Genomic DNA, 21,974 nt, shown 5'->3' with positions numbered 1-21,974 from the left:
GAACTCTAACCGTGAGACATTTATTCAACAAATATTGATTACCTGCCCGCCATGTATTAAGGCCTTGACTTGACAATAGATTATTCCTCACAACCCTGATATTCCTACAACAGTAACCACTTACTATCCCAGTTTGATAGAGGAGGAGACTGAGGCTTGGCAGGGCTTCATGACTTGCTCGCAAGATCACACAGGTAGCACTGACAGAGCCAAACTGGAGCCGAAGGCTATCCTCACTCCAGAGCCATCCTTTCAGTTCCCCAACTCAGGCTCTCACTCACTGAACTCTTCTACCTCCTGTTCCAATTTAGACAATGTTCATTCAAAGTCAACGACATAAACATCCTCTAAAATAATGCTTTACAGTTCTAAGTGTGGAAGAACCCATATTCTTCCAAAGTCTAACTTAGATCTAATGCAATATAAGTAACAATGAAAATTAAAGTCAATTTAGCTTAAAAAAATCCCTGTAAACTATTATTTTAGCTAATGATAGCAGTTCAGCAGGTGAATGCCTGATAAACTCACTATATTGAGTTTAGTGGACACATCAAAAACTATAAAAGTGAACGTGGGATAAGTAGAGGTGAACCTACACCCATTAAATTAATAAGGCAAACAGACCTTTGAAAATGCGACCCTGTGACTAGAAAAGATTCTCACTCGGCAAGTAGCTGAGAAAAGCAGACACATGAAGGAGGAAATGGGAATGAGATAGAGCTATGTGGATGGGAAGAATTCAAATAACAAGCCCTTACGAGCAGGAACCAGTGATGGACTCTGGCTTAATACACAATCTTATTAAAGTACTGATCTGCCTCATTTCCCACCAAGGACCAGTCTTTGAGAGGATAGGAGTTCAAAGACGGTAAATTAACCCACAGGGCTCTATGACCCCCTCTGCTGGGAAGTTCAGGAACAGTACTGCTTCCCCAAGCATCAGAAAGCTGGAAACAGTCGCTCACTAGACTGACTCCACATGTGACACTCATTACAGCACCTCACCTTTTCGTTTAGCAATAATGTCCTTCCTTTACGTCCCTGACTGAGGCTCCTGCTAATTTTTACTTTACTAGACCTTTGGCTTTTCAAATTCCACAGAGGTCAGAAACTGCAGAGTGTTTAAGTCCCATCCCAGAAGCTGCCATTCGAATTAACACTGTGGGTTAAAAAAAAAAAAAAAAAAAGTGTTCAAAAGCACAAACAAGTGCAATGAAATTCAGTCTTATCTGGCTTTACAAGATCAGATTGAGGAAAACTGCCCAACTAGCTTAGGCAATTGGCCCTTTAGAAAGACTACAGAACTATTTCATTCCCAAAATTCCAACAGAAATAATGAGCAGAAACTACCTGAAAATAGGGAGCCATCTAATGACCCCACTCATAGACTCCAGAATGTCATGCCCTGTGGTAGGAATAATAATAGTCCCCAAAGATGTTCACATCCTAATGCCTAGAACTTGTGAATTTGCCCCTTATATGGTAAAAGGGACTTTGCAGATGCAGTTAAGCATCGTGACATGAGGAGATAATCTTGAATTATCCAAGTGGGTTCAAGATAATCACGAGGTCCTTATTAGAGGGAGGCAGGGGGTCAGAGTTAGAGAAGGTGATGTGACAACAGAAGCAGAGATCAGAGTGATACAGGGCCACAGGCCAAGGAATGTGAACAGCTTCTAGGAACTGGAAGAAATGGATTCTCCAAAAGGAGCACAGCCCTGCTGAGCCATTTTGAGCTTCTGATCTCCTGAAATGTAAGATAATAAATGTGTGTGATTTCAAGGCACCAAATTTATAGTAATTTGTTACATCAGCAATAGGAAATTAATATACTCCCCAACAATAAAATATTCCAACACCCAAATAGCTGATGCATCAAATGTTATAATTAAAGTCATTGTGATTAAATGCCCTTAGGAGGAATAATTCCCTTTAAGCCTTATTATTTTTTAAGTATACATGAGCTGTCACATCCTTTTCTGAGAGCAAGTTTGAAAGAGATAGAGCTTAGGGATGAAATGAGGCTAGAGAAGCACCTGTAGGGGAGGAAATGGTGTCCAGAAAAAAGAGAGGAAAGGGAGTCACTGTAACATTTTTCTGTTTCACAATTTTGCCTGAGTCCGACCTTAGTCGTGGGTTTCCATACCGTATATGATTTGCTCTGTTCCATGAACCATTTTATCTCCATGCCAGACACCTTAGCCTTGCTTGTTCCCACCTCCCAGTTTTTACCCTTCTAATCCCCTCCACCTTGAATGCCTTTCCCCAGACCTTTGCACAGCAGGTTCCTTTGAGTCCACCTGCTGTCACTTAGAGTGGCCTTCTCCAACTACCTTGTCCAACCTAGCCACTTCTCCCCTCAACCTCCCTCTAACCTCATTACCTCTCTCATTACCTTGTTCATGTCCTTCATTGTAAGGAATTACTGTCCAACATTATCCTGTTTGGCTCCTTGCTTGTTGTCTGTCTCTGCATGGAAGGAAGGACTTTGCTTTCTTGTTCATCAGTTTATCTCTAGGACCTAGAATCATGCATCATATATAATAAGTGCTCAATAAATACCATTGATTGTATTGAATGCATGAACTAGTTATGTGATACCTGAGCTCTCAAGTGCTACTTCTCAGTTAAGCCTTCCCTGACCACCTTATTCAAAATCGTAACATATCTCCAACCCTCTGCATCCTCCTCCCCTGCATTATTTTTCTCCATAAAGTGGAGATGGCACTTATTACCATCTAATATAGTCAGTAAATGACTTAATCTTTAAAATTGTCTCTCCCATCAGACAGGAAGCTCCCAAATGATAGGGGCTTTTGCCTGTTTTGTTCTCTGCTGTGTCCTCGGCTTAGGTCAGCACATAGTAGGCACTCAGTAATATTGAATGAACAATAAATGTTGCATAGGAGCAGAATTTTCATAAAAGTCCAGATTTGGGGATTCTCTTGAAACTTTGGAAAGTCCTGCAGCATCACCCTCCTTCATACTAGACAGTGAAGCTGAGAAGAGGCTAGGCTGCCTCGCTTAGGACACAGGCTTTCCCGGGGGCCGTATTCCCCACTTCTCCCTACTGCCTCCCTTTCATGGAAGCTGTCAGTTATGCTTTGTTTATTTTGGAGTGAAAAATAATTTTGTAGCCTTGTCTTTGTGGAAAGCAAAGAAAACTTTTTAGCTAGGCTGGAAAGTTTAGGTGTCCATTGTCTCTTGCCTCACACACTTCAGAAAGACTAAGACATTTGCAATCCTCCTAAACATGCCCTATGGTTTAATCCCTTTGAATCTCTGCATAGAGAATACCGGTTTCTGGAATGCTTATCCCTCCTTCTTTACCTGGAAAACTTTTCATCTGGACACTGAATGGAATTCTGAAGAATCAGGATGTGAGGACGCAGAGGTTGGAAGAGGCAAAAAAATGCAGGGACATTTTTCTTTACACTAAAGAGTTTCTAGGACTTTCTTTTGCAATTGATGGAAAACAACTGAAAAACTACAGCTTGTTTTAGAGAGTCAGAGAGATGCCCTGCCACAGAGCCTTTGAAAGATTGACATTCCATATCCATGTATACTATAGAGAACATTATATTTCTGCCATTTGAAGTCAGTTTGTGTTTAGGACATTAGTGATCTGAGGTGGAAATGAGCATTCCAATATCAAGCCTCATCACCTCAATACAAACGCCAAACAATTGTAATAGTTAAGGTGACCACCAGGGGCTGATCTCACACAACAATTCTATATTTAAAACCTGCAAATTCCACTTTCCCGTATCTAACTGTTGACTTTAACCCAAGCCATTCCCTCAGGCCTTAAAGTCCGTGAAATTCATTTTCTAATTTGTCTACAGTAAATAATAATACTTGTTGTACTTAGGCCCGCCCACTGGGAAGTGGTCCAATTGAGGTTTGTACAATCTCAAGGTCACCATTTGTGCCGCTTCGTAGCTCAGGTAGACAGGATAAGTTGGTCAGCTACAAAGCATGATTTATACTTAATTGAAAATATTGTCACAGTATCCATGACAAGGAGTAAAATCACATTTTGAGTGAATAGGGAGGTATTCCTTATCGGTACTCAATTTTATTTTATTTTATTATGTATTTATTTTTGAGACGGAGTCTCACCCTGTAGCCCATGCTGGAGTGCAATGGCACGATCTCGGCTCACTGCAACCTCCGCCTCCTGGGTTCAAGTGATTCTCCTGCCTCAGCCTCCCAAGTAGCTGGGATTACAGGCACCTGCCACCACGCCTGACTAATTTTTTGTATTTTTAGTAGAGACAGAGTTTCACCATGGTGGCAAGGCTGGTCTCAAACTCCTGACCTTGTGATCTGCCCGCCTCGGCCTCCCAAAGTGCTGGAATTACAGGCGTGAGCCCCTGCGCCCGGCCATCAATTTTATTTTTTAGAAAAGGTTGGACTAGCTGGAAAAACAGGCAAAAGGCATAAGATGATGAAGCCCAGTGGAAGTGAATGCCATCTGGAGGGTTCTCGTTTTTTTTTACATTTCTTCCTCAAGTTAGTTAATGTAAGTATATGGGTAATCTTGAAGGGATAAGATGCAGAATAAATAACTTGAATGCCAGTTTTTTAAAAGGGTGGGGGTAGTACTAGGAGCATAAGAATTGCCTGAAAAGTTGTTTAAACTACAAATGTCTAGATCTCACAGCAGGTCAACTATGTCAGAGTTTCTGGGGTTAAAGTCTAGATGCTGCATTTTTTGGGAGGCGGATTGCAGAAATTTATTAAAATTGGAAGACATTGTTTAATTAATCTCTGCTGTGAGACTCCATCAGGCTGTCTACAAAGATCACTGGGAGGCTGAGGTTCACTTGAGCTCAGGAGTTTGAGACTGTAATGAGCCTCAAAGGGCCACTGCACTCCAGCTTGGGTGACAGAGTGAAATCTTTCCGAGGGATAAGCTCGGTGCTGCATTTTAAAAAAATATCCCCAGGTAATTCCAATGTACAACAAAAGTTGACCACCATTTATCAGGCCTCTTTGGGCCTCAGGTACTCAATAAGCATTTGCTAAAATGAATTTGTAAAATGAGGAGACTGAACAAGGATAACTTCTAATGTCCAATCCTAACTCTACAACTCAATAATTCCATGATTGCATATAATAATTTTTGCATATGCAAAACAATTACCCAATCTAAGCTTTTAGTGTAAGAAGTAAGCAGCCATCTATTCAACATTCATGTAGACCAAGGAAATAATTTCTCTACCCCTTGATAACAATCAGGAAAACTGGGAGATAAATAAAGAATTACACACTATTGGACCAATATGGAAATTATCTGAGTATGTGTTACACAGATGGCACCGGGCCAACTTGGATCTTTTTAGCTTATTTGGGTATATTGTTACAATGCCTTGGAACTTGGCTAAAATGAAATTGTTTTTGTTTCCTTCTACATTACACCATTCAAACTTTACACCTTTAGCAACACGTAATCTCTTAACTGTCTAACAAGAAATACAAATTTGTCTACTAGTGTAAACTGTGATTAGGGATTAAGTTCAAGTATAGTAGGATTGTTTCGTGACCTCTATAAACAAGATGTGAGTGAGAGATAGGACACTTTCTTGGCTACAACTACAACTAATCCTGGAAAAACATAAATTGGCTATTTCTTGGCCAGGTCTACGTAAGCATTTCTTCTCTCTGAAGAACAGAAATGTTGACTTCTCTTTCTTTTAGATTTAATAAAGTCATTAATTACCACATGTTTTTAGAAATGATATAGCCTTAATGGATAATATTTTATTTCTCTTTTCTTTTTTTTAGGGATATAGAAAGCTAGCTGAACTGTGTACCTGGTAAAAGTAGGCCCAGGAAAACAAAAGTCAGAAAAAGATTAATCAAGAAGCCAGAGACATCTATTTGCCTTTGAGAAAATAAGGATTATTACAAAGAAAGCCCAAGACAAAGTCAAAGTTCAGCTTTTGAAATAGAAACTAGGATTTTTGAGTCTGAGCAAGACAGTAGGCTTAAAAGCCAGGCTTTGTTGAGAAAGGGTTTTCTGAATTCTTTTAGCTCCCATTGGCATATCTTGGGGGGAAACAGGGGAGGAAGTTGAAATCTTCAAGAGAGAGCATCTCCAGTAGAAACCATACTCCCAGTGAGATGACTATATTTAAACAGAAAGAGGCCAAATAAGAGCCTTTCAATTGATAGATTTAAGCTTCCCCGACTGCCACCACTAGCCAGTGGAATGACAGTGTAAGAATGATTAGGTCCACTTCAGGAAATAAAGCAGCCACATTTTCTTTGTGTATATGATTAGTCACATATGAACATTTTCAACCCAAAACAACTACCAGCTTTAGTCTGAAGCAAGACCTATTTTCCGCACATGGGAGATAAGGAGCAAGACTGAACTGGAGTGATAATCCCTCGCTGTCTGCCTGCTAAGATAGCATCAGTATCCACACATTAGCATCCCTGGCTGTCACACAGCAGAGCCTGTCATGAGGTGAAGGAAAGCAGGCTTTCACGGATCACTCAGAAAGAGAAATAACCAAGAGGACCAAAACTATGACTTACTGAAGAGCCTATCTCTGATGGGAACTGTGAATCTTTTAAAGAATCAAAGTTTTGGTGGGATTATTTTAGGCAGATAATTCTGACCCAGGCTACAAAGAGTATAGGGCTAAAGATTGCTTCATGGACTCCACCACTGAAGTGAATACCAAAGATTGTGATTAATTCTCAAGTGTGAAAGAGACAGAAAGCAGTTAAATATTTAGGGCTAAAGAAAAATCCCAGGGGAAAATCTCTTACTCTGTAAATAAGGGAAGAGGATGGAGAGGTTGACACTGAGATCCCCCCATAACCCTGATTCTCAGAGTCCAACAACAAAATAGTGTTTGTAACTGATTATGCCTTGCTGCCAAATATTGATTTTGTGATTCTAGAAATCTGAAATTAATCTGAGAAGGATTAATTTAACAAAAGGATACCTTATTTCAGGACTGAACTATTTCTATGTGCAAGGTGCTACATTAAGCATTTGGGGACACAGAGATGAACAAGGCATGATCTTTACCCTTAAATAATTTACAGTCTAGTAGGCTTGAGAATCCAGGTCTATAACCCAGTGGAATATAAAGTAGAAAGTAATGATTGGTACAAGATGCTAGTAGAAGGAAAGGAAGCTTCTCATTAAGGCCTCTAGAAGCAATTATGAAAGAGGTGGCTTTTATGCTGGGTTTTAACACGGGATAGATCTGAAGGGACTGGAGGAAAAGGTGTTTTGGCTTCCAGAGACTATATGGGCAATGTAAGGGAAGAAAAAGGTACACTAAAATAAAAAGAATAAAGCGACATTCTTGCTAGACTCGTGTCAATGACCAGAAAGCCCCACCTACGTGATAATTTATCCTTTTATTTTTTAGCTCTTCAGTGTTTTATGATATATTATTATATCATGATCATTGTTTTAATTCTTGTCTTTAAAATCCTGATGAACATATTTAAATATGGAGAGTGTGCTAAGTTTATAATCTGTCCTATGTTTACATAGAACGAAAAAAAATTCCAAATGTGACAAAACACCAAGTCAGGGAAAGAAATGTGGGCTGGCTTAAATATTTAAAGAGATTGAGGACCTTTAGAGTTTCTTGCTCCGTGTGTGGCCACTGGATTCAAGGGAAATCAGAAGCTTATTGTTCCATTGATAAGTAAGCCATAAAGTTAAAGATTCACCACACATTGCATGGAAAACCAATAGCTGGTACAAGCTGGTACCATATATTTATTGCTGATATGAGAAGCTAAGCACACCTGCTATTAACAGATAATGACATGGTACTGTGAGAGAATACACAAGGTAACATACCAGAGCAAATTGGTCACACCATTGCATCATGCTGATGATTGTTAATGGACTCTTCACTAAGACACTTCAGACTCCCTAAACCAGTAGTTCTCAACTGGGGGCAGTTTTGTCCCCAGGGGACATTTGGCTATGTCCAGAGACATTTTTGGTTGTTACAACTGGAGAAGGTGCTACTAGCATCTAATGGATAGGGGCCAGGGATGCTGTGCTACAGTGTATACAACAGTCCCCCACAATCAAGAGCATCTGGCCCAAAGTGTCAATAGAGTGAAGGATGAGAACCCTGCTCTAGATGACAAACCACTTGGCATGAAAATGCACTGTAAAAGCATTCACTTTATGCTTCTGACCCCTAATCTCAATTAGTGCTAAGATATTAGGTACAATAATTTTACAGGAAGCCATGTCCAATCTATTCATATCGTTGTCAGGTAGAAGGTAGTGGCCTGAATTCACCTCCCCATTTGACTGTGTACTGAGTGACTTCTGGTTAACTGTTTTGTGCCTCAGGTTCCTTATCTGTAAAATGGGGATAGTAATAGTAACTGTCTCATAAGGTTGGTATGCTGTTAAAAAAAAAAACCACAAGTCATGTCAAGTGCTTAGAAGAGAGTCTGGCCCACAACACTAAAAAGTATAAACTTTTGTTATCACTGTTATCATCAATATTATTACTATTACTTGGCACAAAAAGGAATTTAGAGATGTGCATTTACCTAGACCAGTTTCCAAAATCTCAGTCATTTGAAGAATAATACGATTTTTTGAGTATCATCTAAACTATCATTTACTTAAGACTCTTCTTTAAATTGTCACACTTTGTACAAATCTTTTGTGTCATTCACAGGTTTGATATCTTAATTGTATTTTCCTAAAATACATGAAATAATGCAGTGCTATCAAAGTAAAGGTTTTTGTATGTTCCAACTAAAATCATCTCACATGTGCTCCATTGGCAGAGACGCAGCAATTACTGAAAATCAGTGGTATGCACAGCCTCAGATTTAGAGAGGAACTTAGATATCCAACCCCTTTCTATGGGATTTTTTGCCATTCATTTGGCTGAACCCACCTCCCTATAAATGCCAAATATTCTCACTCCCAGCTACCTTTGCACCTAACACCTGAGCATGTGACCTCAGCTGCATTGATCAGATATGCTCATGCTTGAGTCTGAATCCGAAGCTGGTGCTGAAAGGAAGCAGGGACTGTGTGAATCTTCTCAGTCCCAATAAGATGAGCTCCTGGGGCTGCAGGGACATCCAGCCCTGGGCAGCTGAGGTGGCAGGGATTTTCTCACTTGTCCAATTTTGGTGTATGGTTTTTGGTGTTGTTCCTGACTCTGAAGTTCCAGACCTGGTTCTGTAGCCTTCTCAGATGTTTGTTGAGAGATCCTATATTGTTTAGTAAATCTTTTTTCAAAAATCCTTAATTCAGCCAGTGTCAGCTCCTATCGTTTGCAAATAAAACCCTGGCAGATACACTCTTACTTTATAGATGAGGAAACTGAGACTCACAAAAGTTGTGTTCTGCACAACGCAGCCATGGCTAGGTCAGGATTAGAACCCAGGCCAGTGCCTTTTTAGCATACTGCATTTCTAGCTCCTTTATGCTGGGTCAAACCTTGACAAAAAGTTGAGTCTGAAAAAAAAAGTTGGCTCTTCAAAAAAATTTTTTCAATTAACACATAATAATTGTACATATTTATAGGGTACAATGTGATGTTTCAATACATGTATACATTGTGTAATGATCAACTCAGAGCAATTAGCATATCCATCACCTCAAACATTTGTCATTTCTTTGTGATGAGAATATTCAAAATCCTCTTCTAGCTATTTTGAAATATGCATCATTGTTTGCTATAATCACCCTACTGTGCAATAGAACACCAGAACTTATTCCTCCTATCTAGGTGGACCAACCTCTCCCATCTCCCTCTCCCCTCTTCAGCCTCAGATAACCACTGTTCTACTCTTTACTTCTACAGGATGAACTTCTTTAGATTCATATGTGGATATGACTGAGGTCATCCAGTATTTGTCCTTCTGTTCATGGCTTATTTCACTTAACATAATGTCCTCTAGGTCCATTCATGTTATTGAAAATGACAGGATCTCATTCTTTTCTATAGCTGAATAGGGTTCCATTGTGTATATTTTTAAAATTTATTTATCAGTTGATATGGTTTGGCCGTGTCCCCACCCAAATCTCAAATTGTAGCTCCTATAATTCCCATGTGTTGTGGGAGAGACCTGGTAGGAGGTCATTCAATCACGAGGGCAGGTCTTTTCGATGCTGTTCCTGTGATACTGAATAAGTCTCACGAGATCAGATGGTTTTATAAAGAGGGGTTCCCCTGCACAAGCTCTCTCTTGCCTGCCACCATGTAAGATGTGCCTTTCACCTTCTGCCATGATTGTGAGGCCTACCCAGCCACATGGAACTGTGAGTCCATTAAACCTCTTTTTCTTTATAAATTACCCAGTCCTGGGTATGTCTTTATCAGCAGCATGAGAACAGACTAATACATCCACTGATGGACACTTAGGTTGATTTTATATCTTGGCTATTATGAATAGTGCTGTAATATGCATGGGAGTGCAGTTATCTCTTTGTCATACTGGTTTTATTTCCTTTGGATATGTATCTACTAGTGGGATTGTTGGGTTATATGGTAGCTCTATTTTTAACTTTTTGATGAAACTCCATGCTGTTTTCCATAGTAGTTGTACTAATTGACATTCCCACCAATAGTGTATAAGACTTCTCCTTTCTCCACATCTTTGCCAGCATTTATTGTTTTGTCTATTTGGTAATAGCTATTCTGACTGGGGTGAGGTTATATCTCATTGTGATTTTGACTTGCATTTCCCTGATGATGAATTATGTTGAGCAATTTTTCATATACCTGTTGGCCATTTGCATATCTTCCTTTGAGATATGTCTATTCAGATCTTTTGCCCATTTTTAAATCTGATTGTTTTTGTTTTTGTTTTTGTTTTGCTATTGAGTTGAGCTTGTTATGTATTCTAGATATTAACCATTCTGTAGGTTGTCTCTTCACTGTGTTGATTATTTCCTTTGCTGTGCAGAAGCTTCTTAGCTTGATGTAATCTCCTACATCTATTTTTGCTTTTGTTCCCTGTGCTTTTGAGGTCTTATCCAAAAAACTCTTGCCCAGATTGATGTCATAAAGCATTTTCCCTGTGTTTTCTTCTAGTACTTTATTAGTTTCTGGTCTTACATTTAGGTCTTTAATCCATCTGAAGTTGATTTTTTCAACAGTGAGAGATAGTAATCTAGTTTCATTCTCCTGCATATGGCTATTCAGTTTTCCCAGCACTGTTTATTAAAGAGACAGTCCTTTCCCCATGTGTGCGCTTGGCAATGTGTGTGTTGGCTATAAAAATGGGGATTTATTTCTGTTTAATTTTAATTTTAAATTTTTGTTGATAATAATTGAACCTCTTTATAAGGTACATGTGATGTTTTGATACATACATTTATTGTGTCATGATTAAATCAGGGTAATAAGGGATATCCATTGCCTCAAACATTTATCACTTCTTTGTGTTGGAAACATTTCAAATCTTCTCTTCCAGCTATTTTGAAGTATACAATGAATTATTGTTAACTATTGTCACCCTAATGTGAACTTATTCCCATTATCTGACTGTATTTTTGTACCCTTTAGCCAATCTCTCTTGTGTGAATTTACTTCTGGGTTATCTATTCTGTCCTATTGGTCCATGTGACTGTTTTTATGCCAGTGATGGTGGCAGTGGCCTGTCTGGAGCAGCAGCTGTGAGGATGCCAGCTGCAGCAGGGGAGGCATGGCAGAGGCTGTGCACAGAGCTCTGTGGAGCCAGTAGGGGCAAAACAGGCGGGAGCCCACCTCCTACTGAGTTAAAGTGATGGAAATCCCATGCTCCCTGTCACAGCTGCAGCCGGTCAGCTGCAGCTTCAGACCTTGGTATCCCTGCTTTCTCAGGGGCCTGGTAAGCCCCACTTCCCCCACAGGCTTAGAAGTGCCTGCTCCCTTTCCCTGGCCTCTTGTGGCTTCCTGCACCCACTCGGATTTCAGAGCAAAGTTGTGGCCCAGCCTGGGCACCATCACAATCTGGCCAGCTGTGCATGCACTCAGGGTGGTGCAGACACGCCAGCCTCTTGCTGCCTCAGCCCCCTCTGGACTTTGGACACTGATGAGCACAGGACAGAGACTGAGGGGGGCTGAGGGCAGGTTGGCGTGGGGCTACAGGCGCCCCTCTGCATGAACAGCCTGGGTGCCATGGACAACCTGTCGATGGCAGCAGGAGGCAGACAGGCTCCTAGGTGGAAAGGAGTGAGTCCCTGGTGAAGCTCCACTTTCAATCCAGGGCCAGCGTGTAGCCTAGGTGCCAGGCCATCAGTTCCAGGTGGAGTCCATGGCCTGGAGTGAGAACTTATGGTGCTTTTTCCAGACCTGCCCATGGCCACCCATCGTCCAATAAGCATGCACTTCCTCCCTTCTGAGCCCATAAAAACCCCAGACCCAGTCAGACTCACACAGACATTGGGACAACCTGCCTGCAGAAAGGAGCTACCCACTGCAGGTCTCCTCTCCACTGAGAGCTGGACATTCATGAGGACAACTTGCCTGCAGAAAGGAGCTACCAACATTGGGTCTCCTGAGAGCTGTTCTGTCACTCAACGAAGCTCCTCTCTGCCTTGCTCACCCTCCAGTTGTTTGCATACCTCATTCTTCTTGGACATGGGACAACAATTCGGGACCCACCGAATGGTGGGACTGAAAGAGCTGTAACACAAACAAGGCTGAAACAGGCCCCTGGCTTGCCAAGTTGCAGGCAACAAGAAAGAGAGAAGAGCTGCAGCCCTTTGGGGAGCCCAGACCTAGAGGCTTCCAAGCCAGGGCTGTGAAACCCTCCTGGGGCTCTGCGGTTCCTAACATCTCCAAACTTCCCTTCCGGGCACCACCGCATTTCCTGGTGCCCACAGTCTAACCATTTTGCTGTACACCTGGTCCAGCCACAGCCTAGCACAAACCCAGTGCTTGTGCCAGCACCTGGAGCTGCCTGCCCCGCTGCAGCCAGCACACCTGGCTGTACGCAGTGGCCAGACCCTGCACTCACTCACACACCCCTCAGCACTCCACACCTGGCACACCCTTGGCAAGCATGGGATCTGGTCCAGTAGAACTCCTGAGTGTAGCCTGCCAGGCCGAGTGGGTGAAATGAGCCCAGTGAGCCCAAGCAAAACCAGGCAAAGTTTCCACCAGCCACAGAGGTTTCCAGGTGGAAAAGTGACACCCTACAGATCCTGTGATACCAGGGCCATGCTATTTTGGTTACTATCGCTTTGTAGTATATTTTAAAGTCAGATAGTATGAGGCCTCCCAACTTTATACTTTTTGTTCAAGATTGCTTTGGCTATTCAGGATCTTTTGTGGTTCCTTATGAATTTCAGGATTGTTTTTTCTATTTCTGTGAAAAATGTCATTTGGTAGTTTGATAGGATTTGCATTGAATCTGTAGGTCACTTTGGGTAGTATAGACATTTTAACATATTAACATAATTAATTAACATTAATTCATGAACACAGGATATCTTTCCATTTATTAGTGTCCTCTTCAATTTCTTTCATCACTGTTTTATAGTTTTCATTGTAGAGAACAAATTATCTTATTGGCCAAGTAAACTGAATACAGTGGTTATTACCACCCTCATCTTTGTATTGTATATCTTTGGGATATGTAGACATGTTTCCTATAGCTCTTCAAAAGTACCCAATATTGAGTGAATTCCCAGAATTGCAAACTCTGATGCTCAAGAGGCCAGGCAGTTCATGTAATGTGAATAAGTAACAGGAGCCAGATCAGGGAGTGGTGGGGACTGCATGGAATTGAGCACTCATGCTTCATCCAAGTGGGCATGTGCTGCTCAGCCCTTATCATTTGATTTTATATAGAGGATCTGATTTTTCAAGGCAAATAAAGTTTCTCATTTTTACATAAAAGTGATGGGCAACAAATTAAACCAAACAAAAAGTCCCCATTGTATGAGCCAACATTAAGGGGTTTATGCCTGTGAGCCAGGTTCCATGCTCAGTCCACTGGGGTACAAACTCCAGGGTATTCCTAAATCTTCTCACTTCTTTTTTTTTTTTTTTTTTTTGAGACGGAGTCTCGCTCTGTCGCCCAGGCCGGACTGCGGACTGCAGTGGCGCAATCTCGGCTCACTGCAAGCTCCGCTTCCCGGGTTCACGCCATTCTCCTGCCTCAGCCTCCCGAGTAGCTGGGACTACAGGCGCCCGCCACCGCGCCCGGCTAATTTTTTTGTATTTTTAGTAGAGACGGGGTTTCACCTTGTTAGCCAGGATGGTCTCGATCTCCTGACCTCATGATCCACCCGCCTCGGCCTCCCAAAGTGCTGGGATTACAGGCGTGAGCCACCGCGACCGGCCATCTTCTCACTTCTTATCTCCTCCTTAGTGGAAGGCTTAATGGAGAGAGAGGTTAAAGCAGACTTTTCTCTGCCCCAGCAGTAATGTAATTAAGACTTCAAGACATCACCTCTTCTACTAGCTTTCCAATTAGAAATCTTATCCCATAGCTCCATGTCCCTGTATTTTTGCTCATGTTGTTTCATCTTCTCTTATCAACCCCACTTTGCACAACTGTGTCTTACTCTTCCTTATAAACCCTATTCCAGGGTCACCTCCTTCTGGAAGCCTTTCCTGATTTCATCTCCCTCCCCAACCCTCCTCAACTCATATTCACCTTAGGTTATGTACCCCATAGCACCCAGGGATAATATTCCAAACATTTAAAAAAGAGTATCTTAGCTCCAATTCTCTAGAAAAAAAGATAAAGTATATGCAAACACATTAACAGGGGGTACAATCCCAGGACAGCAAAATTGAGAGTAAACAATATGAGACAGGAAAGGACCAACAGCAAATGCAGCTCAAGCAAATATTATATTACCGAGTAGGCACAGCCTTTCCAGAAAAGTCAGCTGCTCAGTCCTGTGTGATACATCTCAGAGGTAATATGAAATCCCTGCACCTCAGAAGAGCTACTTAAAAGAAGGAGGAGTGAGGTATTGATTTATTGGATCCTTCTTGTTTTCAACCTCCCATTGGCCAAAATTTGAACTATGGTATGGTAACTCCCCCATACCAGAATAAGTGCCCTGGTGCACACAGTCCTAACAGCAGGTTTGCCTACACCATAGCACCTTCCACATTGTAGGAAATGATGCTTCTATGTCTTTTTCACCAATGATACAATCAATGATACCAATAATGACTTTATCACTTACATTGTTAGAATCTGCATAGTGCCCAGAACATAGTAGGCAGGTAAGCAGGTGAGTTTGGTTTAAACAGATATTTATAGAACATCTAGAGGTTATCAACTGGAATGAAATGCAGAGGAGGGTTATAATAACCTTGAAATACCAAAACCTTCTTTCAACTCAATAGTACAGCTATAGGGAACCTTGCCAACCCAAGGTGTTCTGACTTCTGGCCTTCACCTCTATTCCAACCACCCTCAGGCAGCTTGACTATGGACCACAGGACACCCTCACCTTGGGTGGTTGCCCTAGACACAATTTCACCAAATTGAAAATCCAGCAGTGTATATAATATCTATAACTAGGCCTCTGGGGTTTTAATATTGTTGGTGTTGAGCAATGTTCACATGCCTACACAATGCAGTTGAATTTTGTACAAGAAGGCTTTTGCATATCTTTTCAACCAAATAAAAATGTTCCTTTCAACTTAATGGTCTTTATTGTACTAATTAGTTTTAAACAAACCTTGCCTTAATAGGGCTTCCTATTCCTCTAATGACACTGAACCAACAATAAATTAATATCATGAATGTATTTATGTAGAAAAGGAATCCCCGAGGTTTATCTACACTGTCACAAATAGCAGAATCTCCTTCTTTTTTAAGGCTAAATAATGCCCTATTTTTTTATATACGTATATGTATGCCATAATGTCTTTATCCACCCATCCATCAATGTACGCTTCAGTTGTTTCCATACCCTGGCAGTTGGAATAATGCTGCAATGAACATGGGAGCTCAGATATTACAAACTGAAATAAGCCAGACAGAGAGAGAAAAATACTTCATGATCTCACTTATGTGTAGAATCTTTTTAAAAGCCAAATACATAGAAACAGAGAGTAAAGCGTGGTTACCAGAGGTGAAGGGAATGGGGAGTCATAGGTCAAATTGTAAAAAGTTGCAGATATGTAGGATGAATAAGTCTGGAGATCTAATGTACAACAGAAAGGTCACAGTTAATAATATTATATTGCATACTGGAAATTTGCTAAGAAAGTAGATTTTAGGTGCTCTTAACCTCCCCCCCACAACACATACACACACGAAGGTAACTGTGTGAGATGAGATGATCATCACTGTGGTAATCATTTTGCCAGTATATGTAATTCAAAACATAATGTTGGGTACCTTAATATATACAATGAGAAAAAAAAAACTAAAAAAAAGAAAAGGAGGCCAGGCACGGTGGCTCATGCCTGTAATTGCAGCACTTTGGTAGGCAGAGGTGGGTGGATCACTTGAGGTCAGGAGTTTGAGACCAGCTTGGCTAACATGGTGAAACTCTGTCTCTACAAAAGTACAAAAATTAGCTGGGTGTGGGGGTGCATGCCTGTAATCCCAGCTACTTGGGAGGCTGAGGCAGGAGAATCACTTGAACCTGGGAGGCAGAGGTTGCTGTGAGCCAAGATCACGCCACTGTACTCCACCTAGGCAAAAGAGCAAGACTTCATGCCACCGCCCACTGCCCCCGCTCAAAAAAAAGAAAAAGTAAAGGAGTCCTCATTTATATGGGGATTTTTATATTTGCTAGGAGGAAAATGGTACCTTTCAATTTTTTTTTTTTTTTTTTTTTTTTACTTAGGTGTAGACACCATGCCTTTTCAATTTTTATCCCTGTTCATTTTTTACATCCACCGAGCACATGATTCCTCTTTGTGTGTGCGTTTGTTTTCTCGGCTGTCTACTCAACACCTACTGGGACATGGCACCCAGTTAGGTATCGTCACTCACTGATGGTTTAAGAGGCCTCGTGTTTTCTATCTGCTTAACACATACCTCAAAGGTGAGACGGAAAATCTTTAACTTGCTCTTCTCAGGGGGCTGACAAGCCTATCACTGGAATTAACAAAAAGGAGAATTTCAAAAAGTAAATTCAGGGAAAGAAAATAAGTCACTGGATCTAAATTATTTGGTTTGTGTGAAAGTAATTGCAGTTTTTGCCATTATTTTCATAGACAAAAATCACAATTCCTTTTCCACCAACCTAATAATTCCATTTTCTAGTAATGCTTGTTACTTTAAGAATTTCATCCCTAAAATAGTCTTGACTACCAGGAAAGGTTAGGAAGTCTTAGTTATCTGTTAAAAAGTGATGGCGACATTTATCGCTTAGGCCTTCAGCAACTACATTTCCCCAGGGCGTATTAGTCAGCTGGTCGTTTATTAGCTTCCTGTGCTGTTAATCATTTATCTCTTATGACTACACATGACTTAAGCTATTAATACAATTTTCTACAGTTTTTACTATCTATTTAAAAGATAGTTTGGAAGTATTCATGAGGGCTGAAACAGACTGAAAAAAAAGATTTTTCTGGAACTGCATTTCCCGGTCTCTACCTTTGCCATGTGTAGATCATCAAAGTTTGGTCCGACTCCTGAGTGTGGCCCTCATGGCCTGGTGACAAATCACTTTCAACATGTACCTTCTTGATAGAAAGTTCAGATCTTGGAGTTGGCCAGTGCCATAGAGCCAAAATATGGGGAAGTTCAAAAGACGAGGAAGTCTTATCTTAGGCGTCTTGGTCACAATGTACCCTCATAAAGTAAAACTTAATTTATAACATGGAACAGGCTTTAAGATGCCATAGAAATAATAGCAGTCTGAAAATAGGGATCTTGTGTCTTGCTACTGACACTGCTTTTCCTGGAATCATGAAAAGTCAGAAATGAAATTGTTTTCTTTTTCTTTTCTTTTTTCTTTTTTTTTTTTTTTTTTTTTTTTTTTGCACATTAAGGCAGGCAACACTAATCTTAAGCAAATTTTTGGAACCAAAACCAAGTTTAAAAAAAAAAATTAATGTTAATAAATTTCAATAAGAAAAGACTGGATAAATGCTTCTAGCTGGGATCATAGAATCAGTGCAGCCTTAAGATGGAAGGGAATTTACAAGCTGGATGGTCTACTCCCCCGCTTTAGAGTTATAAAAATGGAAGCCTGTAAAAAGGAAGGGGCTTGCTCACAGTCATCCAGCTAATTACAGAGAAGCAAAGTCCTGTGGTAAGGTGGCCAGGGAGGTCCTTGAGTGACAGCCATCTGCTTTCCCTCATCCCAGTCAAGCCAACTCTGATTCTCATTGAATGTCTTTGCACACATTTTTTTTTTCTGTTGAGACGGAGTCTCTCTGTCACCCAGGCTGGAGTGCTGTGGTGCGATCTCGGCTCACTGCTACCTCCACCTCCAGGGTTCAAGCGATTCTCGTGCCTCAGCCTCCCGAGTAACTGGGATTACAAGCAAGCACCAGCCACCACGTCCGGCTAATTTTTGTATTTTTAGTAGAGATGGGGTTTCGCCATGTTGGACAGGCTGGTCTTGAATTCCTGACTTCAGGTGATCCGCCCACCTCCACCTCCCAAAGTGCTGGGATTACAGGCATGAGCCACCGCGCCCAGCCCTTTGCACACATTTAATTAAAGTTAATTAAATCGGTACTTATATTAATTAATTATAAATAAAATTATCTGAGAAAAGATTGCTTCTGTTCATGTAATACATATGTTCCTGAAAACCTGTGAGGTTAATTTTTTAAAATAAAATATATTTTGGACACTTTGCTCTCTTCCTATTACTGTTGGGAGTATTCAAGAGAGCTAACTACTTTCCTTCTTGAACAGCTCTCATCTTGCTTTCTAGAAACCACATTCTTCTCATTTTCCTCTGCTCCTACTCACCACTCCTTCTCTGCCTCCTTTGCTGCCTTCTTCACATCCTCTATGCAACAAGTAAGTGTGCCACACCTGAGGCTCACTCCAGGGCCCCTTTCCCTCTCCTTCCCCTCCTCTCCCCCCCCCTCCTCCTCTCCCCTCCCCTCCTCCTCTCCCCTCCCCTCCTCCTCTCCCCTCCCCTCCTTTCCCCTCCCCTTCTCTCCCCTCTCCTCAACGTGTATCCCCTGCCTTCCCCTCCTTTTCCCTCTCATCTCCTTCCCTCCCCTCCTCTCTCCTCCCACCTTCCAGCAGTAATGTCCACCTGGCTAATGACTTCCATACACTGTTATGACTCCCAAATATGTCTCTAACCCACACATCATTCATCCCAAACTGTCAGCTTGACATCTCCACCTGAGTGTCTAATAAGTCTCAAACTTAACACGATCAAAGCCCTGCTCCACCATTTCTTCCCTCCACCAAGTCTTCCTCACCTCCATTAATGGCCCCACCCACCCAAGTGCTTGGGCCCAAAATCTGGGAGAAATGTTCTTGACTTTTCTTTCCACTCCATCCCTATGTCCAACCCATCAGCAAGTCTTTTTGGTCCCACTTCCAAACCTGCCCCCATCTCTAAACCTCACACCTGCAGTCCAAGCCGCCTGCACCTGTCACCTGGTCTGCAGTGAAGGCCTCTTGACCTTTCTCTTCTGCTCTGCCCCACTGACATCCTCACCTATTTATAGCTGGGGCAACCTTTCAAACACGAACTCAGATCATGTCACTCTCTTATCTAAAACACCTGGATGAGTTCATCTTTCTATACACATAAACTCCAGCCCCTCGCCATAGCCTACACATGAGGCCTGGCTTGGTCTTTTTCCTTCCACTCTCCTTCACCCTCTGACCACATTGACATCTTTTCTGTTCATCACATGTACCGAAGACTTTCAGCCTCAGGACCTATTTCTCCTTGCTTGAAATCATTCCCCTAGTTCTTCAAATAACTGTGCCATTCTTGTTCTTCAGGTCTGGCTTCCCACACACACACACACACACACACAAACAGGCCTCTCTTTTCTGCCTTGGCTATTCACACACACACACACACACACACACACAAACAGGCCTCTCTTTTCTGCCTTGGCTATTCACACACACACACACACACACACACACACACACACAGGCCTCTCTTTTCTGCCTTGGCTATTGGCCTCCCCAATTGCTTGCCACCATATCACCCTGTTTATATCTGTCACAGCGTTGCATGTCCCACAGCCTGTAATTGTGCTGTTTGCATCTTTGTGTACTTCTGTATATTTCCCCTTGCAGAATATAAGCTCCACCAGGGCCCAGACATTGTCACCACCAGATCCCCAATGCCTAGAAGAGCTCCTGACACATAGTAGGCCCTCAAGATATTACTGTTTAATTAATGAAGTAGTGGATTTGAATGTGCTTATAAATCTCCTTTAAAAGAATGCTAATGGTAAACAATTGAAGAATGATGGAATCACTCTCACACATACTCATTCATCTTTGGGTGTGTGGGTGACAATTTCAGTCTTCCTGCTCTGCATTGATGAGAAAAATGCATGTGCTTTCCAGCCATACTACCCACTTATTTATGGAATATTTGCATTAATCAAATTCCGGCCCAAGAAACTTGTATATCCCTTGGAGTTTGTCATAACAAAATCTGGCCTACAACAGACAAGGTTTTTTCTTTTTTTATTGTTGTTATTACATTCTTTCAAAAAATTTTTTTATTATACTTTAAGTTCTAGGGTACATGTGCACAATGTGCAGGTCTGTTACACATGTATACATGTGCCATGTTGGTGTGCTGCACCCATTAACTCGTCATTTACATTAGGTATATCTCCTAATGCTGTCCCTCCCCCCTCCCCCTACCCCACAACAGGCCCCGGTGTGTGATGTTCCCCTTCCTGTGTCCAAGTATTCTCATTGTTCAATTCCCACCTATGAGTGAGAACATGCAGTGTTTGGTTTTTTGTCCTTGTGGTAGTTTGCTGAGAATGATGGTTTCCAGCTTCATCCATGTCCCAACAAAGGACATGAACTCATTGTTTTTTATGGCTGCATAGTATTCCATGGTGTATATGTGCCACATTTTAAAAGCAATGGCAACAAAAGCCAAACAAGGTTTTTAAAGAATTTGTTCCTGCCAGTCCCTCATTCAACAAAGACATATTGTACATCTAGGGCCATTATTTCCATATGACAAGTGCTATACAAGGCTCCAGAGAGAGAAAGGTGAGGAGGATATAGTCACTGCCCTTGTGGAATCCACCCCGGGTGGACAGGTATAAACTGGGGAACAAGAAAGACAATACAGTGAGGTCAGGGCTGACACGAGGGAGACAGCTTGTATCCCACGAGGCTAGTATTTGGTGGTGATTTTGTTTCATCTTGTGTTTATTTCATCACTTTCTCTGATGAACTTTCTGACTTCTTTGAAGGCCTCTTTCTCCTTACCACCTCTAAATGCACTTTCCAAGGCCCTGCTCCCAGCCTTCTATTCTCTTTCAACATGTTCCACACCACCGTATCCACCCCTTCAAGGCTCTGACACCCACCGTGTGATGACTCTGATCCGGCTCTTGTCCCAAACTTCTCAGCCAAGGCTCATCCCTCTTCCTCCACCTCCCTCTCAACTCTTCCTTTGGGGCTCTCTGAGCACCTCAGCTTCCATGTGTCTCACCTAGAGCAGCTCCTTCTCTGATTTTCCTGTCCCTGAAGATGCCTACACAAAAATCCCAGTCACTTCAGCTTGAAACCTTGGGTTCTCTTTGACAGCTCCCCCTTGGCCACCATCCTAGTCCAGGCGTTCTCATCAATATTAACTTCTCAACCTCATTTCCAAGTCTCGTTGACTCCCTTTGTCCCCTAAACACACCACACTCCTGATCACCTCCTCATCATTCCCCCAGGGCATTCACCATTTCCTGTGCTGTCTCCATGATGCCTTCCCTGCACCCCTTTCCAATTCTTGCCACTCCACACATCCCAGGGTAAAGTCCATGCCCCTACGAAGCCTTTCTTATTCCTTTTGGCCACCATTTCTTCTTTTTCAACTTCTGTGAATTACCTTATTTATAACA

The 21,974-nt window shown here is 41.8% G+C and overlaps 1 long non-coding RNA gene across 1 annotated transcript in view; it reads right to left on the bottom strand.

Moving 5' to 3' along the window:
- Positions 1–1,057: 1,057 nt before the first annotated feature.
- Positions 1,058–21,974, bottom strand: part of LOC105375739 (uncharacterized) — a 46,366-nt gene continuing 25,449 nt past the window's right edge. The window contains exons 2-3 of the long non-coding RNA XR_928607.4: positions 2,396–2,521; positions 1,058–1,159 (exon numbers count right to left, since the gene is read on the bottom strand). This is a non-coding gene — a long non-coding RNA (uncharacterized LOC105375739). The remainder of the gene's footprint in view (positions 1,160–2,395; positions 2,522–21,974) is intronic.

This window comes from Homo sapiens, chromosome 8 (genome assembly GCF_000001405.40).
Source record: "Homo sapiens chromosome 8, GRCh38.p14 Primary Assembly".
Lineage (NCBI taxonomy): Eukaryota > Metazoa > Chordata > Mammalia > Primates > Hominidae > Homo > Homo sapiens.
This window is presented reverse-complemented; position numbering and strand designations above follow the sequence as displayed.